This window comes from Homo sapiens, chromosome X (assembly GCF_000001405.40).
Source record: "Homo sapiens chromosome X, GRCh38.p14 Primary Assembly".
NCBI classification, from domain to species: Eukaryota; Metazoa; Chordata; class Mammalia; order Primates; family Hominidae; genus Homo; species Homo sapiens.
Window position 1 is genome coordinate 23,220,825 of NC_000023.11, and position 22,610 is coordinate 23,243,434.

General features: G+C 39.7%; 1 long non-coding RNA gene across 1 annotated transcript in view, besides 1 other annotated feature; it reads right to left on the bottom strand.

Annotated features, from left to right (window-relative positions):
* PTCHD1-AS (PTCHD1 and PHEX antisense RNA) overlaps window positions 1–22,610 on the bottom strand; it is a 1,100,142-nt gene that overhangs the window by 1,027,820 nt on the left and 49,712 nt on the right. The window lies entirely within an intron of this gene.
* Window positions 18,012–18,659: an enhancer, noted in NCBI's record as "NANOG-H3K27ac-H3K4me1 hESC enhancer chrX:23256953-23257600 (GRCh37/hg19 assembly coordinates)". NCBI's record gives its function as "activates a minimal SCP1, AML or CMV promoter by ChIP-STARR-seq in naive and primed H9 embryonic stem cells {active_cell/tissue: H9 hESC(naive and primed)}" and the evidence as "EXISTENCE:reporter gene assay evidence [ECO:0000049][PMID:30033119]".

A 22,610-nucleotide genomic window follows, 5' to 3' on the forward strand; every position in this document is an offset into this window, starting at 1 on the left:
GATAATGTGTCGTTTAGTGTAGCCACCTTCATCAATGAGCTAGATCTTCTGCAGCAGCTTCTACATCTTGTACTTTCATGTTATGGGGATGACCTCTTTCCTTAAACCTCAGAAACCAACCTCTGCTAGCCTCAAACTTTTCTTCTGCAGTTTCCTCACCTCTCTTAGCCTTCATAATTGAAGACACATAGGGACCTTGCTCTGGATTAGGCTTTAGCTTAAGGGAATGTAATGGCTGGTTTGATCTTCTATCCAGAGCACTCAAACTTTCTTCGTATTAGCAGTAATGCTGTTTCACTTTTTTATTATGTGTGTGTTCACAGAAGTAAGTCTGTTAATTTCTTTCAATAATTTTTCCTTGCATTTATAACCTGGCTAACTGGTGCAAGAGGCCTAGTTTTTGGCCTGTCTCAGCTTTCAACATGCCTTCTTCACTAAGCTTAATCATTTCTAACTTTTTATTTCAAGTGAGAGAGGTGCGACTCTTTCTTTCACTTGAACATTTAAAGGCCATTGTAAGGTTATTAATAGGCCCAATTTCAATATTGTTGTCTCTCAGGGAGACATGAGGAAAGGAAGAAAGACAGGAGAATGGCTTGTTGGTAGATCAGTCAGAGCAAACACAACATTTATTGATTAAGTTTGCTGTCTTATATGGGCACTGCTCATGGTGCCCTAAAACAATTAACGACAGTAACATAAAAGGTCATGGATAACAGATCACCCTAAAAGAGATAATAATTATGAAAAAATCTGAAATATTCTGAGAATTACCAAAATATGACACAGGCACACAAAGTGAGCACAAGCTGTTGGAAAAATGGTGCCAACAGAGTTGTTTGATGGAGGGTTGCCACAAACCTTCAATTTGTAAAAAATAAAAACAAATGTAGTATCTTCAAAGTGCAATAAAGTGGAGTACAATAAAATGGGATATGCCTGTATTAGTTAAAAAAGGATATTAAACTCATGGCCAGGCGTGGTGGCTCACAGCTGTAATCCCAGCACTTTGGGAGGCCAAGGCGGGTGGATCACCTGAGGTCGGGAGTTCGAGACCAGCCTGACCAACATGGAGAAACTCCATCTCTACTAAAAATACAAAATTAGCCGGGTGTGGTGGCGCATGTCTGTAATCCCAGCTACTCGGGAGGCTGAGGCAGGAGAATTGCTTGAATCCGGGAGGCGGAGGTTACAGTGAACCGAGATCACGCCAATGCACTCCAGCCTGGGCAACAAAAGTGAAACTCTGTCTCAAAAAAAAAAAAAAAAAGGATATTAAACTCATAACTAAATTTTGTAGCATTAATTTGGTCATTCTATAATAGATTAAGATGTCTTATAAAATATGTATTTTGGCTTTAGAAAATAGTTGAAAATAACATCATGCTACATTACATTCAAGTGTATCCGTTCAATTCAGCCTATATGTTCCTCACTATACAAGTAATTTTAATAATTTTGATTTTGTATGCCTTTAAATCGGTCATGTACTTTTCAGTTACCCATAGTCCCTACCACTCCCTATTGCTTTATACGTAGCCACTTCGCATATTTGGTACCTGCATGACATATGAAGGCATTTGAATGTTAAATTTCTGCTATTCATAATGACACACAAATTATGTAGGAACTATTCACTTGTCAGCCAAGGAAAATATGAAGAGGTGTTTTTCTTTAAACAGTGAGCTCCTCCACTGCATTAAAAATGAATCCAACTTGAAAATAATTTGTTTTGTGCTGAATTTTTTAGAAACACGACGTGTATGAAGTTAAATACTTGAAAAGATTATCAAGAAAATAAAGAAATTTGAAAGTGAGAACTGATGTGATGTCAAAAAAACACTCAAAGACAAAAGCATTTAGAAAGTAAGTTTCCTTGCAACAAAATACAGGCGAGTCAGACTTCAAAAGGAATGGTTTGAAAAATGTGTGCGTGTTTAATGGGAAAAAAAGTAAGACTGCCATCAGTCTGCTCATGGTAGAAAAACAGCAACTTTCTAATGTGATTATCAAATCCACAAAGGTTGTACCATTTTTTCAGACATCAGCATTGCCAAAGTCACAGCTAAAGGTGCTTTAGCCAGATGAGTCCAGGCATACAGGAAATGTGCAAGGTGCCATCCAATGTAAGATCAGAACTAGAGAACTAGATGGGGTGGCCTTATTATTTTTTACTAATTGTGGAGTACAGAGTGGTTTTTCCCCCTAACGGCAAAACATGATCTATACCTGTATTAGCCCATTTTCACACTGCTATAAAGAACTTCCTGAGACTGAGTAATTTATAAAGGAAAGAGGTTTAATTGACTCAGTTCCCCATGGCTGGGGAGGCCTCAGGAAACTTACAATCATGTCAAAAGGGGAAGCAGACACGACTTACATGGCAGCAGGCAAGAAGAAACTAGCATTTATAAAACCACCAGATCTCATGAGAATTCACTCACTATCACGAGAACAGCATGGGGCCCAGCTCTGTTGCTAACAAGCTGCTGGTGCTCAACAGTCTTCTTATTCTCCGCTTGTTCCGGAGCACCACCTCTGGACTACATTCCTCAGCCTCCATTGTAGGACCACATTCCTGTGACTGAGGTCTGGAATGGAAGTGATGTGTGCCATTTCTAGGCCTGGCCCATCAAAATCTGCCATTTGTAGTTCTTCATGTTTTTTCCCCATCCGCTACCTATGAGTAAAGGAATCTGAGGACTCAGAGGAGGGTGAAGGCACAAGAGGGAAAGGAGAAGCAACCTTGAATAACTGCATGGAACAAAACTCTATTTCCCATTCTCCCCATCCCTGCTAACCTACACAGGATTGAATGTGTTCAAGGTAGAAATTCTAAAACCACAGATATATTGCAGTTGTTTATTACAGCTATTGGTCTACATGAATAAATATACCGTGTGACAGTGTTAGTTACTAGAACTTCTCTAAACTCAGTATCTTCATCAGTAAACTGAGAATAACAATGCACCTAATTGAGGGGATTGGTGTGACATTTAATAAGAAAATGTACAACACTGAGCACAATGCTTGGCACACAGTGAACAATCAATAAATACCATCTACTAAAATGGTTCAGTGTGTGTTAGCTATTACAATATTAGATGAGTTGGAAAAAAAGAAAACGGAATCATTTCTTTTGCTTGGTAATATATCTCTATACTTGGACACATAGAGAACCCAGTCCTTCTAGTTAACCAGTGCTAATACCATGTATACTGATTAAGTACTCCTTTGAAGATCTGGAGTCCTACAGAGCTGGGATTAATGTTAAGCTGGATAAGTCACTATTACAACAGCTGCTTGAACCACTGGAGTGTACCCAATCGCTCTCCAAATTGAAAACTCTGAGGAATCACTATTAGGCATTATATCCCCAAGCATAACAACTCCCATAAGTTTCAGAACACCATGGAGTCAATAGAAGAACAGCCTACTCAGAGACTGCACCAACTGAAGAAGATCCTGCCTCTGCTGTCAACATCAATTACAGTGTATTAAGGTCCCACAGGGTGCAGTGCTTAATAAATGGCCTTACTTAATAGATGTTAACTAATTACACCTAGAAAATTCCCATCCACCCAAGGAAAGTATTGTAATATGCCAGATGAGAAAGACCAGATTTCTCAGTTAGATCCTTCAAATGCCTCCATGTCTCCTCAAGGTAGAATATGAAAGCAAAAGAAGCTTTTTCCTTCCCTAAAGTCTGCCCTATTCTAATACCTAAGTCAGGCACCTGTACACCTTGACTCTGGACATAATCACTTTATCACCAGGATCTAAAAATGATTTTCAGAGAATGGAAATCAGGTCAAATTCCTAAAATGGAAGAGTAGAAGGTCAGCCCCCAACCTGAGCCAGTTCTCTTCATCTAGCCTCTCAGGTAATGATGGCTGGTCACTGCAGCTAAAATGCAAAACACAAAAGAAGACCTTTTACTTTAACCCAGGTGTCTGCTTATCATAGTGTAGAATACAGGAGAACATTTTTAAATTGGCAGGCAGTTGGCAGGGTCAGGTATTTTTGTTTGTTTTTGTTTTTGTTTTGAGATGGAGTCTTGCTCTGTCAACCAGGCTGGAGTGCAGTGGCACGATCTCGGCTAACTGCAACCTCTGCCTCCAGGGTTCAAGCCATTCTCCTACCTCAGCCTCCCCAGTAGCTGGGATTACAGGTGCACACCACCACGCACAGCTAATTCTTGTATTTTTAGTAGAGACGGGGTTTCACCATGTTGGCTAGGCTGGTCTCGAACTCCTGACTCCTGATCCACCCACCTTGGCCTCCCAAAGTGCTGGGATTACAGGCGTGAGTCACTGTGCCTAGCCTTTTTTTTTTTTTTTGAGAACTTGATGAAAGTTAGGAATCCTATCTCAAAACACACACACACACACACACACACACACACACACACACATACAAAAACTGCATTTCAAATTTATAGACCCTCCCATTGTAACTCTGGAACAGTAGCTTTCATGCTTCAGAGTGCATGAAAACCCCCCTGGAGGGCTTCTTAAAGCACAGGCCCCCAGAGTTTCTGATTCCATTAGTCTGGGTGACTTGGGCCTGAGAACTTGCACTTCTAACAGGTTCTGATGATGCTGATGCTGCTGTGTCTGGGAACCACTCCCTGAGAGCTGCCACTCTAGGACTCTATGGACCAGGTTGAAAGTATCTGCTCCAAGGAGTCCACTTCGGAGCATTTCAAATGCTGGGAACAGGGGCCCATCAATATGTCATAGGGCAGAAGACAAAGATCCTAACTCTCAGCAACACTGAGCTCTGATCTGTGACCTTCAGCAAATTCTCACCTATAGCTTGTGAAATCCTCCTGGTCTTTTCCTCTGATTCCTGCTTCTCTCCCCACCCCTCAGCCTCCGCCTTTCTTTATTCCTTTCTGTCTCAGGACCTCCATGTTTATGCATCGCTCTCCTTCCCCATCTGTTTCTGTGTGCATATGTATGGGTAACTAGATGCCTGAGCTCACCTCTGTCCCTCTCTTATTGTCCCCAATCTCTTTCCCTCTGTACACTATAATAGGAAACTGTATTTGCATTTACAATTTGTTGTAGCTATTCAATTAAGTTTTATGACTCATATTCTTAATTTTGAAGCAGGTAAATGGGATATTTTATATTTGTCTCTAAGGATATAAAATACTAAAGCCTCTTAATATTTTTCCTAGGATAACTCACATCTTGGTTAACAGAGGAAAATATTCCCATGTTTTTTTTTTTTAATACAAGCACTATGTAATAGAACTTTCTATAACGACAAACATGTTTTGATTCTGCACTGTTCAACTCAGCAGTAGCTACTGGCCACGTGTGGCTACTGAGCACTTAAAATACAGCTATAATGACTGAGGAAGTGAGTTTTTTATCTTAAGTAGTTTTAAATTTAAATAGCCACATGTGCCTAGTGGCTACAGTAGTGAACAGTGCAGCTCTATATTGTCTACCTTGAACATTTATATACTGTATACATACAGGATGCAGAAACCTTTCAAAATCTCTCAAGCTATGCTTGGTCACCTCAACATCAAAACAGAAATGCATCCATCCCCTAAACCTCTCATGAATCCCATGTTACATAAACAAGGAGTTATGTTTTTAACTTAAAATAATAATAATAATAATAATAATAATAATAATGTAATTGTAAAGAAAGCCATGTCAAACACTGAAGAGATTTTTCTCCCAGTCACCTAGGAGCTGAAAACCTCCTCTCCAGGGAGGAACATAACCATCTGTGTGCATCAGTTGGACCAGCACTGTTTGCTCCACTTGAACAGGGACTGGAAAGCAACAGCATGAACATCCAAATCATTCATTAGCAGACACCCAGAATCCCACCGGTAAATAACCCAGCATCAAGTCTTGCTGCAGTCTCCAAAGTATCTCAACTCCTGTTTTGGTGATTACTTTGGCTCTCAAGAAATCTCAAAAATTCTACAAATCTCTCCAATCAAAATTACTTTAAACTTACTTTAATTTACAGACACATGCCATGTAGCCCCTTTTCAAAGCTACTATGGGAAAGTAAGTGAACTGATAGGGCGTAATAATTTCAAAGGGATCATGGAATCACTGTTCAGCCTCCATTTTAAAACTTCTCTCATGTTACAGACTCAGATTCTTCATCAAACATCTTCAAATCTTCCTATCCCTAGGGTTTTGAGCTAAGAAAATATAAAAATTAAGAATTAAGTTTTCTTTTCTTTTTCTTTTTTTTTTTTTGAGATGGAGTCTTGCTCTGTAGCCCAGGCTGGAGTGCAAGGGCACGAACTCAGCTCACTGCAACCTCCACCTCCCTGGTTCAAGTGATTCTCCTGTCTCAGCCTCCTGAGTAGCTGGGATTACAGGCGCCCGCCACCACGCCTGGCTAATTTTTGTATTTTTGGTAGAGATGGGGTTTCTCCATGTTGGTCAGGCTGGTCTCGAACTCCTGACCTCGTGATCCACCCGCCTCGGCCTCCCAAAGTGCTGGGATTACAGGCGTGAGCCATCACACCCGGCCCTAAAAATTAAGTCTTGTTAGAGACTACATCTGCCCGTGAAGACCTTGAAATCTGTGCTATGGAAATGGAAAACAAATCAGATTTCACTATCTTTAATTGTTGTCCATTAATTCGGTCCTCACCAAGGATTCACACCATTGACCAAAGTTCCTTAGGAGAAATCTGAGTTTTCCTAGGGCCTAACATAACATCTGTATTGGTTATAAGGCATTATATCTGTATGGCACTTAAGAACTTATTAATTGCCTTCGTTTACACTGACCTCCAATCCTCACCACATTGGGAAGTGGATGTTACAGCCTCACTTTTACAGATGAGGATATTTAGGAGCAGAGGGTCTAATTGATAAGGAAATGATCAATTGAAACAGACATGCAGGTAGAAAAGAAATCTAAATTGCAGAGAAGTAGGTTTGGGTCACAAGGCTAGAAAATAATATCGAACTCTCCACTATCTTAAATTTAGTACATAATACGTTTTGAGAAGCAAAATTGCCATTTCACATTGAATTAACCACGTGGAACTTAGCCCAGGCTGTCCCAAGGCAGATTAATAAAAACTGAATTTGTGAGAGTGCCTTTGAACCTTCTTGAAGTACATGTAATCGTATGTGAGGCTTTTACAGATGCATTTTGTTTCTGAATCAAGGATTGGCACATTGTAAGAGCTTGATATAATGACAGGAGTCTTTCCGCTGAAACCAGTCAGAAGCCAAAAACCTCATAAATGTTTACCATAATAAATCACCTTAATATATCTCACTTTGCTAAGTTGTTACCCAATTAGTGTAATGTAAGCCAAGTCTGTGGTAGGAGCTATCTGAACTCAGTGTAAACCTATTAAAGAAATTTACTTACCCCTGAATTGACCTGTTTTGAACACTGAGCCATATTTTCAGGGACAGATTAAGAAACAGATTCTAGCCTGAATATAGAAGACTTTTTTCCTTTAAATAAAATCTATATGTGGAGCATAGAACTTTTACAGCCTTTATTTGAAGTTCCAACATGAAGTGATATTCTGTTGAACACTTTTCGGGTAGCTATGGCAACAATGATTATCACCACATACTACCAACCAAAATACCACCTGCATCCACGTCTATTCTAGACCGTTAATTAACAAGAAAAGCCCAGTTCAAATTCCCAGTTGGTAAATTTGGCAGAAAACTTTTTTCAAAATGTTGGGAAATCTATTTAGCTTTGGCTTCTGTGTTTGCTTCACAGAGTTTTGTTGTTGTTGTTGTTATCTTTCAGAACAACTTAAGTCTGACTCTCTCTCTTCCTGCTCACACCAGAACCACCCACACACACTGTTAAGTTTCGGGAGAAATAGAGGTTTCGGCATTTCCTTTTCTAAGGAGTTAATCAGTAATAAGATCTCCAGGGGCCCCCCAGAGTACTCCTTTCAAACAATTATCCATGTACATGAGAATTTCAGGCTTGTTTTTAGTTTCTCTGTAGGAAGGAGGGGAGATAGAAGGGGAACAGAAACAGGAGGTAAAGACTGAAGAGAAAGGAAGCTAGAAAAAGAAAACATAGAAGGAAAACGAGCGAAGAAACGTAGAAAAGAAAGAAAATGAGCCCAGGATCAAAAAAGAAGAGAACAATTTATTTCAATCTGTGAGGAAGAAGGCAAAGGGGAAAACATGCAGAATCCATGGAAAGCAGAAACAGGCTTCACACAGGCTTACAATGGAAGATTCTGCAATTGACTAATTGCAGGAACTGCTCCAGTTCGTCACTGCTCCCTATTTCAATGCCCTCTATCTTGTAACTTTGAAGTGCCCACCCACTCCAACTTTGGACTCAGCCACGAACTTGCTTTGGCCAATGGGATATTAGCAAATGTGATGCAACCAGATGCTTGACAAGTGCTTGTGAGAGTAGACTTGCTTGCTCTCGCCCTTTACCACTGCTATGAGAACATGCTTGGAGAATGAAAGACACATTCTGAGCTGAGCTGAGGTGCTCCTATCTTCCCAGCCAACGCCATCTCAGATCAGCTGACAGCTAGCATACCCAGAGATGTGTGAGCCCAGCCAGTATCAGGAAAGTTGCCTGTGTCAACTAGCAGCTGAGTGCAGACACAGGCGTGAGCCCTGCCCAGATCAGCTAAATAAATGCACATTGTTGTAAGCCACCTAGGAGGTTTGCGATGCAGCATTACTGTGGCAATACATAACCAATATAAGTATATACCCTGATAATCAAGGAGCTCATTCTATCCCCATTATATTAATGATTTCTACCACGTAATCTTGTAACTAAGTATCAAAACTCCATAGGAAAATACAATGTAGAATAATCTTAAAATAAATACAGTCAATGCAAATTTTTGGACATGATAGGTGTTATTAACCAACAAAGTAAAAAAACCCAGGATATTCCCCAAGGTAAGGTCATTGAGATTCTAAAACCACAGAAAACTTGGAAAAAAGCCAGCCAATCCTACTTTAGGATAAATTCAATTTAGGTAATTACAAGGACACAGCAAACTTTGTCCACAGTCACTAACACTGCAGCAAGTAACGGACTAAAAAGTTTGCAAATTCTCAGGTGCCCTATCAATTGCAGCTGAAGAGCTATAACAATAAAAGCGTTTTCTCCAGCTGTGGGCCTGAGGGTAAACAGGGTAGGTGATCCCTGATGAATCTGTGCTGCCAACTGCAAGAACAGAGGGTAACAGCTGCTATCAACACCACACTCCCTAGCTTACCATAAAAGTAACAAATGAATTGTCATTTAAACAACAACAAAAAAATACCTTGAACACATATGGGCAAGAGCACTGCATTCACCTTCTGTAAACTGAACTACACAAAGAAAAACATGACTGGAAAGTGGACGATACAAGCAATTAGAATAGAAAGGTTTCTTTGCCTGTAAAGCTGAGTTACATTTTCTTTCCAATGAGAAGTGCTCGGGGGGAATTCTTAGAGGGTCACTGGTAAAGGGATACCTGTGTACTAAGTGAATGAGACAATATTCTCTGAATCTCAAATCATATGTTTAATCAAAGACCCTGTTAGGTATGCGGCTGAGTAAATAGAGTAGTAACATATTGACAAAAAATGGATTTTTAATTGACTTCAGTAATCAGGGAACAGTGGCGTGAACAATCTCTGAATTATTTTATTATGATCTTGGAAGGCGTTTTTTCATTGACAATAACTAGAAAGGGAAAAAGAAACACCTTGGCAGAATCTGAAGGATTTCTAGTTTTGTATTCTGATCATTATCCAACTCACGTGTGGTACCCACGGCATGGCAAAAATTGCCAGTCTCTCTCCTCAGCAACTGGAACCCCACTCTGTCTCACACCTTCCTTGGGTGGATGGCAGAGTAAGGATAAGGTAACTATTGTGTTTACAATACCTTTTCTAATGTGTGAGGGGTAAGAAGACAGCTGACTCTGGTTCCTTGAATCTTTTCCTTCTTTCCTGTTTTTAATGGTTTCCAGATGCCAGGAAGATAGTTCAGAGATGAGGGAATCAGAGGAATCCAGTGAAAAGCAGTGATACTTCAAGCCCCTTGAGATTTGTTCATCCATCCATCCATCCATCCATCCACCCATCCATCCATCCAACAAACTCAATGCAAATATTGGATGCCTACTATGTGCCTGCTATGTGTTAAGCGCTGTGGAAACACTGATGCACAAAGAAAAACAGTGAGAGAGATACATGAGAGATATAAGAGAGATACATATACGTCCTTACAATACAACACTAGGGTGCCACAGTGGAGAGTGTAGGAGTGCCGTGGTAGCCGTGGGGAAGGACTGACCAAATATACCTGAGGAGTGGAGCTGGGGAGGCATCATGGTGGAAAAGAAGCTGGGCTCCTTCTTAGACAGTCCCCAACAAAATCAGCCAGACAATGGAAAGTTTACTTCACAATGATATTTTAAGGGGGTCTTGTCTCAGAAGTGCAACCAACAAACCCTTATCATCCTCGAGCCTCCATTAATAGGCTCTAAAATCTCAAACTCTAAAGTTTAGGAATATAGATGTATGTGAATTAATACAAAAGTCTGAACGCCTTAGCATGAAAAATTCCTACAACTACGTGGGCCTGGAATATTTGTGGAACACCTTATTAGATTCCAGAAACTGCACTAGGCATGCTGTCTTATTTGTTTAAAAGAGGGGCAAAGGCTTGGTTATAGTTCTTTAATGCATGTGAAATCTCTGAGATATACACCGATAGATTTGGCAGACTTTCCATATCTACTTACACAATGAAATGTACTTTGGATTTAGGTTTTTCTCTCTAAAAATAAGATACTGTTTTAATTTGAAAAGTATATGTTAGTAAAGACAACAAAATATGTTTTTTTCCACTAAAATTGTCACTTTAAGGATGTTATGTTATACTGAGAGATCTAATCAGAAAGCCTTTTAACACAAGTATATTTTTTCCCCCACATGAATAAATTTTACTTTTTGTCCTTGAGAAGAAAGGCCAAGAAAACTTACCACTGATTAAGGAGAGGGGACTCAAATACATTGCATTTTCTTAAATAAGTCCCTTGGATTTATGGGCTGGTTCCATTACGGAGCCAAGGTAGTGCATTGTGTCATTATCACCTGACTTCTGCTTCTTCACTTTATAGAGAGTTAATTCAAAGACGACTACTGAAAAGAAGCCAATGAAACAATTTCAAAAGCATTTCCAAAACTTACTCTGGATTGTAAACAAATATAAGCCAACAAAAAATTAAAAGGCCATGCTTTGCAGTCTGGAGACCATAATTTACAGTGTTTATAAGATTTTTCTGCTTCAAAGTTCAAAATGAAGAGTAGTCAATTTATGAACCTCATTTAATCCTTTGAATAACCCCATGAAGTAGGAATTATCACTATTTTACAAGTGAGGAGAATGAGGCTCAGAAAGGTTTAAGAGAAGGTTGTAAGTGAAGCAGCCAAGACTGAACTGTAGGACTGATGGACTTCAAAAGCCATTGTTTTACCATTAAAACACATTACCTGTTGATATAATTTCATTGTCTGTCCGCTCCAAATCTCATGTTGAAATCTAATCCCCAATGTTGGAGGTGAGGCCCGCTGGGAAGCGATTGGATCATGGGGATTGATATGGTTTGGCCGTTCCCCATCCAAATCTCATCTTTAACTGTAGCTCCTATAATCCCTATGTGTTGTGGGAGGGACCTGCTGGGAGGTAATTGAATCATTCAGGGTGGGTTTTGCTGTGCTGTTCTCGTGATAGTGAGTAAGTCTCACGAGATCTGATGGTTTTATTAAGGAGAGTTGCCCTGCACACACTCTCCTGCCTGCGCCATTGAAGACATGCCTTTGTTGCTCCTTCGCCTTCCGCCATGATTGTGAGGCCTCCCCAGGCATGTGGAACGGTGAATCCATCAAACCTCGTTCGTTTATAAATGACCCAGGCTTGGGTATGTCCTTTTAGCAGCATGAAAACGGACGAATACAGGGCTGCATCCCTCATAGATGGCTTACCACCATCCCCATGGTAATGAGTACATTCTCACTGTAAGTTCACACAAGATCTGGTTGTTTTAAAAGAGTATGGCACTTCCTCTTGTCTCTCTCTTGCCCCCACTCTTGCCATGTGACATGCTGGCTCGTCCTTGCCTTCTGCCATGATTGTAAGCTCCCTGAAACCCTCACCAGGAGCAGATGCTGGCACCATGCTTCTTGTAATGTCTGCAGAACTATGAACCAATTAAACGTCTTTTCTTTATAGATTACCCAGCCTCAGGTATTTCCTTATAGCAACGCAAGAACGGCCTAACACGTCTGTGATTAAACCCTTTTCTGTTTGATTTGACTATTAAAATACTACATTCTGTTGATGCTATGGAACTAGCTAAAAGACTGCTGAATCTGGAGTTTGGTAAAACTAAAAAATGACAGATTTATTAATTAACTTCACTACTGTTTGAGGAGTTAACAATACCAATCATAAGAGAAAAAAATGGAGCAAGCTCATCCTCTCGTTGGGCTCCATTCAAGTGTCAAGACAGGGAAGGATAAAATATTAAACCAAAATGAGAAGAAAAAAACAAAAAAATAGATTTCGTATGATTGGAGAAAACTTAATTACAGATACATATGGCCCTTTAAGAGAAGGCAACAGTTAAATCTTCTGTTTCATTTTGTTTCCTCTTTCTCCCAGAAAGGATGTTTGGGCCAGAAATATAATACTTTTATAATTTTAAAGCACTTTACAGCATGTTTTCACATAGATTATTGCATTTGATCTTCACACCTACTCTATGAAGTGAGATTTATCAGTGTTCCCATTTGATGTATGGGGACACTGAGTTCAGAGCAGCTACACAACTTACTGAAGCATGTAAACTGTGCTTGACACAGCACTCAATGCCAAGTTTTCTGATCTGAAGTCCTTCTTTCCGACAAAACACTGCTTCTCCTTCCTGCTTTGAGCCAAAGAGAAACAACATAAAAAAGAGATGAGAAACAAAGAAAATCATATAAATTATAAGACAAATCACATATAAGCTGAGTTCAGCTCACGTCCAAAAGCATTTGGCATTAAATTAGCATTCAAGCTAATTTCTAAAATATAAGTCTCCTATCAGAGTCTATGTATACAATCATAATTTAAAAAAATAAGGCATTTGGGGGTTAAAAATCAAGTGGGAAAAATATTTCATTTCATCTTATAATACACCTTATACTTTAAACTCCATTTTCTGCTTCTACATTGTTTGGTATTTGATTTAATAAACTATTAGGCCTGTAGCAGATTCTCAGTAAGTGTGTCCACTGAGAATTTTTAGCATGAAAAGGCCCGCATATGAATTTTATCATTATATTTAAGCAAACATGGATCTATACTATCAAATTTTGCTGATTTGTTTTAAAATGGTGGAATAAAATGCTGGAATCTTGGCTCAGCTTTTACAGAGTGAACCAATATTCATCTTGCATATGTTGATTGATGTCTCATGTTTCCCTAGAATGTATAAAAACAAACTGTGCTCTGATCACCTTGGGCACAGGTCGCCAGGACCTCCTGAGGTTGTGTCACAGGCAAGCGTCCTCAACCTTGGCAAAATAAACGTTCTAAATTAACTGAGACCTGTCTCAGATTTTCTGGTTTCACATTTCGGTAACCATGGAGGGATTCTGAGTGGAGATGCCCCTGACCTTTGACCTATCAGTGCTGGGTACCGGCATGAGCTAACTTTATGGCTCAAACCAATAGGACAATTTGCTGAGGTCTGAGAGCACCCCCTCCAGAGAATCCCTGATCTCCAAACATTTGGATGAGATATAAAGTTTATTTTGCTGTACAACTCCACTTTTTTTGGAGTTGTACTTGCTTCCAACAAGGAAGGCAAGACTTCCTGTTTCCATGTCGATGGAAGACAGGTAATTCCTTTATGGAGTTTGAGCTCACTTCCAACACGGAAGATGAGATTTTTTTTTTTTTTTCATGCTGCTGGGTTGGTAGAGAGCAGTCTACAGCCTGAGACCCATCCCTAGGTAAGTAACTGAATTGAGGTTTGTCTTGGCTAAAGTTAAGACTAACAACCAGCTGGTCTTAATTTCTCATTACCATCAGAGTGCTCAGTAATCATATAAGTTGTGCGATTGTTTGTTTTGCTTAACTGGTTTTTTTGTTGTTGTTTATTTCTGTTTCTGTCGTTGTTTTGGTCTTTTTCCCATTAGGTTTGACCGACTCTATTCGACGTGATCAAATCCGAAGGAAAGTTCCAAGTTATGGGGAACAAGGCCTTTAAAGGGGCTAAATTCACACACACACACACACAAAAGTGATGTGGCGGGGGGGAGAAAAACAACCAGCAAAAGGAAAAAAACATGGATTTTTTATTTGGACTACTTAAAGGGCTTTATTTACATAACAAGGCCACCGTTTTGCTAGCGAGGCCAAACTGAAAGAGCAATGGCTGTCACCCCATGCTGCAATTTGACAGCTAAGCTCCTTGCTTTTTTTTTTTTTTTTAACCACGACAGCCTGGATTTGGTTCATAAATCAAGGCCTTCCTGGTTTGATACTTGGTACTTCTGAAATGGCAGAAATTTCTCCTAGCTAAAATATGGCAATGAAATTTAAAAGGATTTTTTTTAAAGGAGATCAATGGTTAAAAGTCAGCTTAATTAAAAGGCTAACATCCAAGATGTGTGTGTGTATGTGTGCATGTCTGCATGTTTGCATTTAAAAGGCTTTCATGTTTTTCTTTGTTGTTTTTCTCTCCTAGGACCTTGTCTTTTTTTTTTTTTTTTTGAGCAAAAGTTTTTTTTCTTCTCAGTTGACTGAATTCTCTTTTCGCCTGATTTTTATTTATTTATTTATTTATTTATTTATTTATTTATTTATTTATTTTTGAGACAGAGTCTCGCTCTGTCACCCAGGCTGGAGTGCACTGGCGTGATCTCGGCTCACTGAAAGCTCCGCCTCCCGGGTTCACGCCATTCTCCTGCCTCAGCTTCCTGAGTAGCTGGGACTACAGGCGCCCGCCACCACGCCTGGCTAATTTTTTGTATTTTTTAGTAGAGCCGGGGTTTCACCGTGTTAGCCAGGATGGTCTCGATCTCCTGACCTCGTGATCCGCCCACCTCGGCCTCCCAAAGTGCTGGGATTACAGGTGTGAGCCACGGTGTCCGGCCTGATTTTTTAATTAAAATAGTTATTGCAACAGAAGCTACTGTTTGTAAGGAAGAGTGTAGTTTGGAAACTTAAAAATATCTGTTTAAAAAAATTTTGAAGTGCACTGTAAAAGCATCACATGGTCTAGTCTTATAATTCTCTCTTTTTGGAGACCCAGGATTCAGTGTGAGCTCTGCCCAGAGCTTAGAGATGCAGTTAAAAAAAAAAAAAAAAATAGGTAGTCCCTATCTAAATAAAATTGGTCTCCTTATACAATCCTATAATAAATTTCTGTAATTTTATGCTTGATTTGGCATCCATCTTTAATCTCCCTCTAGCATCACCAAACTTTTTCTCTCTGTACCCTGAGATGTAAATTTTGCTATCTGATTTTTCATCTAAGAGTTATTTCTTTTAATATGCAAATTTAAGGCTATTTAGCTGACAACTGCCTTGGGTAAGATAGGGAAAAAAAAGGAAAAAAAGGAGGCCTTTATGAATCTATAAGATGTACTTCTATCGGCATGCCTAACACGTCTATGTATTTATGTGTTGTGTACACAGTGTTTCACTACTAAAAATATATAAGAGCTCTAATTAATTGGCTTTAAAAAAATAAAAGTGCTTAAGCCAGATACTAAAAAAAAGACTAGTCAAATGCTTTTCAAGTTCACGTGACTTAAGTAAACTCTTTAATAAATAAGCTGGCTTTTAAAATATTTAGTAAAATAACATTAGAAATGTCTTAAGAATTTGCCAACAGACATTTTTGTTTGCATTTATTAATCAAGCAATTTCATACTTATCCCTGACAAGTACTACAAGGTGTCAAAATTTGGCATGGGGGGTTACAAAACTATAAACCCGAGGCGGGCGGATCACCTGAGGTTGGGAGTTCGAGACCAGCCTGACCAACATGGAGAAACCCCGTCTCTACTAAAAATACAAAATTAGCCGAGCATGGTGGCACATGCCTGTAATCCCAGCTACTCAGGAGGCTGAGGCAGGAGAATTGCTTGAACCTGGGAGGCAGAGGTTGCAGTGAGCCGAGATCACACCATTGTACTCCAGCCTGGGCAGCAAGAGCAAAACTCTGTCTCAAAAACCAAACCAAACAAAACAAAAAACAAAACTATGAACCCAGCCCAAAACAGAATGATCTTTGCTTGTGTAATCTTTAATAAGTAAGACATTGATATTGGTTTAATAAAAATAGCTACACCTTAAATTTAGTAAGATTACCATAACTTTAATCTTGTGGCTTTAGGTGGTCTAGTCCACAGGCAGTAAGGCTTGTTATTGCCTTTGTTTCAAAGCTAAACTATAAACGAAGTTCCTCCCAAAGTTAGTTCAGCCTATGCCCAGGAATGAACAAGGACATCTGGGAGGTTAAAAGCAAGATGGAGTCAGTCACATCAAATCTTTTTCACTGTCTCAGTTATAATTTTGCAATGGCAGTTTCATAATGTTAAATCATGACTATTGCAGTTTTCGTAAATAATCTAGGTAAACAATTAAAATAAAATAATTCGGTAAATGTAATGTGATAAATACTTGTGGACTACCTTGTCATAATTTAGAATATAAAGTTATATTAAATTAGATAATAGATATTTCATTATTTGGGTATTTTCAAATAAAAATATATTGTAGAAAAACATTCTTTCTTAAAAAAGTGTCCTTTTTAAAAGGGTGAAAAATTTTTGTCTAATTCAAAGGTTATTTAAACGTTATGTATAAAACAAGGTAAAAGGAACCAGGAAATAAGAGAAATGTAAAGAAAGTTACAGAAATAAAGAGGTTTTTTTGGTAAGAAAGCTTAAAGGGAAATAATTTTATATGAGAAAGAATCTTATATGGTAAATTTAGACCTAGAATAAAATGACTGGTTGTTTAAGAAAGAGGGACGTTCAGGAAAAACCAGAAAGTTCAAGCATGTCATGAATGGTCTAAGTCAGTCACAATAAATGGATTGATATATTTTTAAAAACTTATATAGTTAAGTTGACTATAATTAAAGAGAAATGATAATGGTCTTTCTAGAGATTGTGTTTGATGTTTAAAAACACTTATACACTAAATAATTGGTTAGAACAATGAAATTTTCTTAAGGGATTGATTGACTCTTAATATATTATAAAAGATTTTAATTTTTTTTAACCCAAAGTTCAACTTTTATTGCATCTCTACGTTTTTGGTTTTCTCTCCCCTTTTAAAGGGCACAAAATAGTAATGCTCTCCTTAAACTTATCTTCAGCTTATATAAGTTTTTTTTCCTGGAGTTCTGTTGCAGTGGCCCAATGCTAGCAATGTTTTCTTAAAGGTCTAAAGGAAATGTTTTCTTCCAACATAATATTCTGTGCAGTGCAGCAGGTCTTTTCTCTTGCCTTTTGGTAACTGGCCTAACAGATTTTACATTTTATCAAAACAATTCATATATCATTATTATTAAGTTTTTGTTTGCTTAGAAATAACTGATATTAAAAAATTTAACTAAGGTTATTACATCCATGTATCTTTCTGTATGTGCTTTTAAAGTCCTTGTGACGAGGGAGGAGCCAAGATGGCCGAATAGGAACAGCTCCGGTCTACAGCTCCCAGCGTGAGCGACGCAGAAGACGGGTGATTTCTGCATTTCCATCTGAGGTACCGGGCTCATCTCACTAGGGAGAGCCAGACAGTGGGCACAGGCCAGTGTGTGCGCGCACCGTGCGCGAGCCGAAGCAGGGCGAGGCATTGCCTCACCTGGGAAGCGCAAGGGTCAGGGAGTTCCCTTTCCGAGTCAAAGAAAGGGGTGACAGACGCACCTGGAAAATCGGGTCACTCCCACCCGAATATTGCGCTTTTCAGACCGGCTTAAAAAACGGCGCACCAGGAGACTATATCCCACACCTGGCTCAGAGGGTCCTACGCCCACGGAATCTCGCTGATTGCTGGCACAGCAGTCTGAGATCAAACTGCAAGGCGGCAACGAGGCTGGGGGAGGGGCGCCCGCCATTGCCCAGGCTTGCTTAGGTAAACAAAGCAGCCGGGAAGCTCGAACTGGGTGGAGCCCACCACAGCTCAAGGAGGCCTGCCTGCCTCTGTAGGCTCCACCTCTGGGGGCAGGGCACAGACAAACAAAAAGACAGCAGTAACCTCTGCAGACTTAAGTGTCCCTGTCTGACAGCTTTGAAGAGAGCAGTGGTTCTCCCAGCACGCAGCTGGAGATCTGAGAACGGGCAGACTGCCTCCTCTATTGGGTCCTTGACCCCTGACCCCCGAGCAGCCTAACTGGGAGACACCCCCCAGCAGGGGCACACTGACACCTCACACGGCAGGGTATTCCAACAGACCTGCAGCTGAGGGTCCTGTCTCTTAGAAGGAAAACTAACAACCAGAAAGGACATCTAACAGAAAACCCACCTGTACATCACCATCATCAAAGACCAAAAGTAGATAAAACCACAAAGATGGGGAAAAAACAGAACAGAAAAACTGGAAACTCTAAAACGCAGAGCGCCTCTCCTCCTCCAAAGGAACGCAGTTCCTCACCAGCAACGGAACAAAGCTGGATGGAGAATGATTTTGACGAGCTGAGAGAAGAAGGCTTCAGACGATCAAATTACTCTGAGCTACGGGAGGACATTCAAACCAAAGGCAAAGAAGTTGAAAACTTTGAAAAAAATTTAGAAGAATGTATAACTAGAATAACCAATACAGAGAAGTGCTTAAAGGAGCTGATGGAGCTGAAAACCAAGGCTCGAGAACTACGTGAAGAATGCAGAAGCCTCAGGAGCCGATGGGATCAACTGGAAGAAAGGGTATCAGCAATGGAAGATGAAATGAATGAAATGAAGCGAGAAGGGAAGTTTAGAGAAAAAAGAATAAAAAGAAATGAGCAAAGCCTCCAAGAAATATGGGACTATGTGAAAAGACCAAATCTACGTCTGACTGGTGTACCTGAAAGTGATGTGGAGAATGGAACCACGTTGGAAAACACTCTGCAGGATATTATCCAGGAGAACTTCCCCAATCTAGCAAGGCAGGCCAACGTTCAGATTCAGGAAATACAGAGAACGCCACAAAGATACTCCTCGAGAAGAGCAACTCCAAGACACATAATTGTCAGATTCACCAAAGTTGAAATGAAGGAAAAAATGTTAAGGGCAGCCAGAGACAAAGGTCGGGTTACCCTCAAAGGAAAGCCCATCAGACTAACAGCGGATCTCTCGGCAGAAACCCTACAAGCCAGAAGAGAGTGGGGGCCAATATTCAACATTCTTAAAGAAAAGAATTTTCAACCCAGAATTTCATATCCAGCCAAACTAAGCTTCATAAGTGAAGGAGAAATAAAATACTTTATAGACAAGCAAATGCTGAGAGATTTTGTCAACACCAGGCCTGCCCTAAAAGAGCTCCTGAAGGAAGCGCTAAACATGGAAAGGAACAACCGGTACCAGCCGCTGCAAAATCATGCCAAAATGTAAAGACCATTGAGACTAGGAAGAAACTGCATCAACTAACGAGCAAAATCACCAGCTAACATCATAATGACAGGATCAAATTCACACATAACAATATTAACCTTAAATATAAATGGACTAAATTCTGCAATTAAAAGACACAGACTGGCAAGTTGGATAAAGAGTCAAGACCCATCAGTGTGCTGTATTCAGGAAACCCATCTCACGTGCAGAGACACACATAGGCTCAAAATAAAAGGATGGAGAAAGATCTACCAAGCCAATGGAAAACAAAAAAAGGCAGGGGTTGCAATCCTAGTCTCTGATAAAACAGACTTTAAACCAACAAAGATCAAAAGAGACAAAGAAGGCCATTACATAATGGTAAAGGGATCAATTCAACAAGAGGAGCTAACTATCCTAAATATTTATGCACCCAACACAGGAGCACCCAGATTCATAAAGCAAGTCCTCAGTGACCTACAAAGAGACTTACACTCCCACACATTAATAATGGGAGACTTTAACACCCCACTGTCAACATTAGACAGATCAACGAGACAGAAAGTCAACAAGGATACCCAGGAATTGAACTCAGCTCTGCACCAAGCGGACCTAATAGACATCTACAGAACTCTCCACCCCAAATCAACAGAATATACATTTTTTTCAGCACCACACCACACCTATTCCAAAATTGACCACATAGTTGGAAGTAAAGCTCTCCTCAGCAAATGTAAAAGAACAGAAATTATAACAAACTATCTCTCAGACCACAGTGCAATCAAACTAGAACTCAGGATTAAGAATCTCACTCAAAGCCGCTCAACTACATGGAAACTGAACAACCTGCTCCTGAATGACTACTGGGTACATAACGAAATGAAGGCAGAAATAAAGATGTTCTTTGAAACCAACGAGAACAAAGACACCACATACCAGAATCTCTGGGACGCATGCAAAGCAGTGTGTAGAGGGAAATTTATAGCACTAAATGCCTACAAGAGAAAGCAGGAAAGATCCAAAATTGACACCCTAACATCACAATTAAAAGAACTAGAAAAGCAAGAGCAAACACATTCAAAAGCTAGCAGAAGGCAAGAAATAACTAAAATCAGAGCAGAACTGAAGGAAATAGAGACACAAAAAACCCTTCAAAAAATCAATGAATCCAGGAGCTGGTTTCTTGAAAGGATCAACAAAATTGATAGACCGCTAGCAAGACTAATAAAGAAAAAAAGAGAGAAGAATCAAATAGACTCAATAAAAAATGATAAAGGGGATATCACCACCGATCCCACAGAAATACAAACTACCATCAGAGAATACTACAAACACCTCTACGCAAATAAACTAGAAAATCTAGAAGAAATGGATACATTCCTCGACACATACACCCTCCCAAGACTAAACCAGGAAGAAGTTGAATCTCTGAATAGACCAATAACAGGCTCTGAAATTGTGGCAATAATCAATAGCTTACCAACCAAAAAGAGTCCAGGACCAGATGGATTCACAGCCGAATTCTACCAGAGGTACAAGGAGGAACTGGTACCATTCCTTCTGAAACTATTCCAATCAATAGAAAAAGAGGGAATCCTCCCTAACTCATTTTATGAGGCCAGCATCATTCTGATACCAAAGCCGGGCAGAGACACAACCAAAAAAGAGAATTTTAGACCAATATCCTTGATGAACATTGATGCAAAAATCCTCAATAAAATACTGGCAAACCGAATCCAGCAGCACATCAAAAAGCTTATCCACCATGATCAAGTGGGCTTCATCCCTGGGATGCAAGGCTGGTTCAATATACGCAAATCAATAAATGTAATCCAGCATATAAACAGAGCCAAAGACAAAAACCACATGATTATCTCAATAGATGCAGAAAAAGCCTTTGACAAAATTCAACAACCCTTCATGCTAAAAACTCTCAATAAATTAGGTATTGATGGGACGTATTTCAAAATAATAAGAGCTATCTATGACAAACCCACAGCCAATATCATACTGAATGGGCAAAAACTGGAAGCATTCCCTTTGAAAACTGGCACAAGACAGGGATGCCCTCTCTCACCGCTCCTATTCAACATAGTGTTGGAAGTTCTGGCCAGGGCAATCAGGCAGGAGAAGGAAATAAAGGGTATTCAATTAGGAAAAGAGGAAGTCAAATTGTCCCTGTTTGCAGACGACATGATTGTATATCTAGAAAACCCCATCGTCTCAGCCCAAAATCTCCTTAAGCTGATAAGCAACTTCAGCAAAGTCTCAGGATACAAAATCAATGTACAAAAATCACAAGCATTCTTATACACCAACAACAGACAAACAGAGAGCCAAATCATGACTGAACTCCCATTCACAATTGCTTCAAAGAGAATAAAATACCTAGGAATCCAACTTACAAGGGATGTGAAGGACCTCTTCAAGGAGAACTACAAACCACTGCTCAAGGAAATAAAAGAGGACACAAACAAATGGAAGAACATTCCATGCTCATGGGTAGGAAGAATCAATATCGTGAAAATGGCCATACTGCCCAAGGTAATTTACAGATTCAATGCCATCCCCATCAAGCTACCAATGACTTTCTTCACAGAATTGGAAAAAACTACTTTAAAGTTCATATGGAACCAGAAAAGAGCCCGCATCGCCAAGTCAATCCTAAGCCAAAAGAACAAAGCTGGAGGCATCACACTACCTGACTTCAAACTATACTACAAGGCTACAGTAACCAAAACAGCATGGTACTGGTACCAAAACAGAGATATAGATCAATGGAACAGAACAGAGCCCTCAGAAATAATGCCGCGTATCTACAACTATCTGATCTTTGACAAACTTGAGAAAAACAAGCAATGGGGAAAGGATTCCCTATTTAATAAATGGTGCTGGGAAAACTGGCTAGCCATATGTAGAAAGCTGAAACTGGATCCCTTCCTTACACCTTATACAAAAATCAATTCAAGATGGATTAAAGATTTAAACGTTAGACCTAAAACCATAAAAACCCTAGAA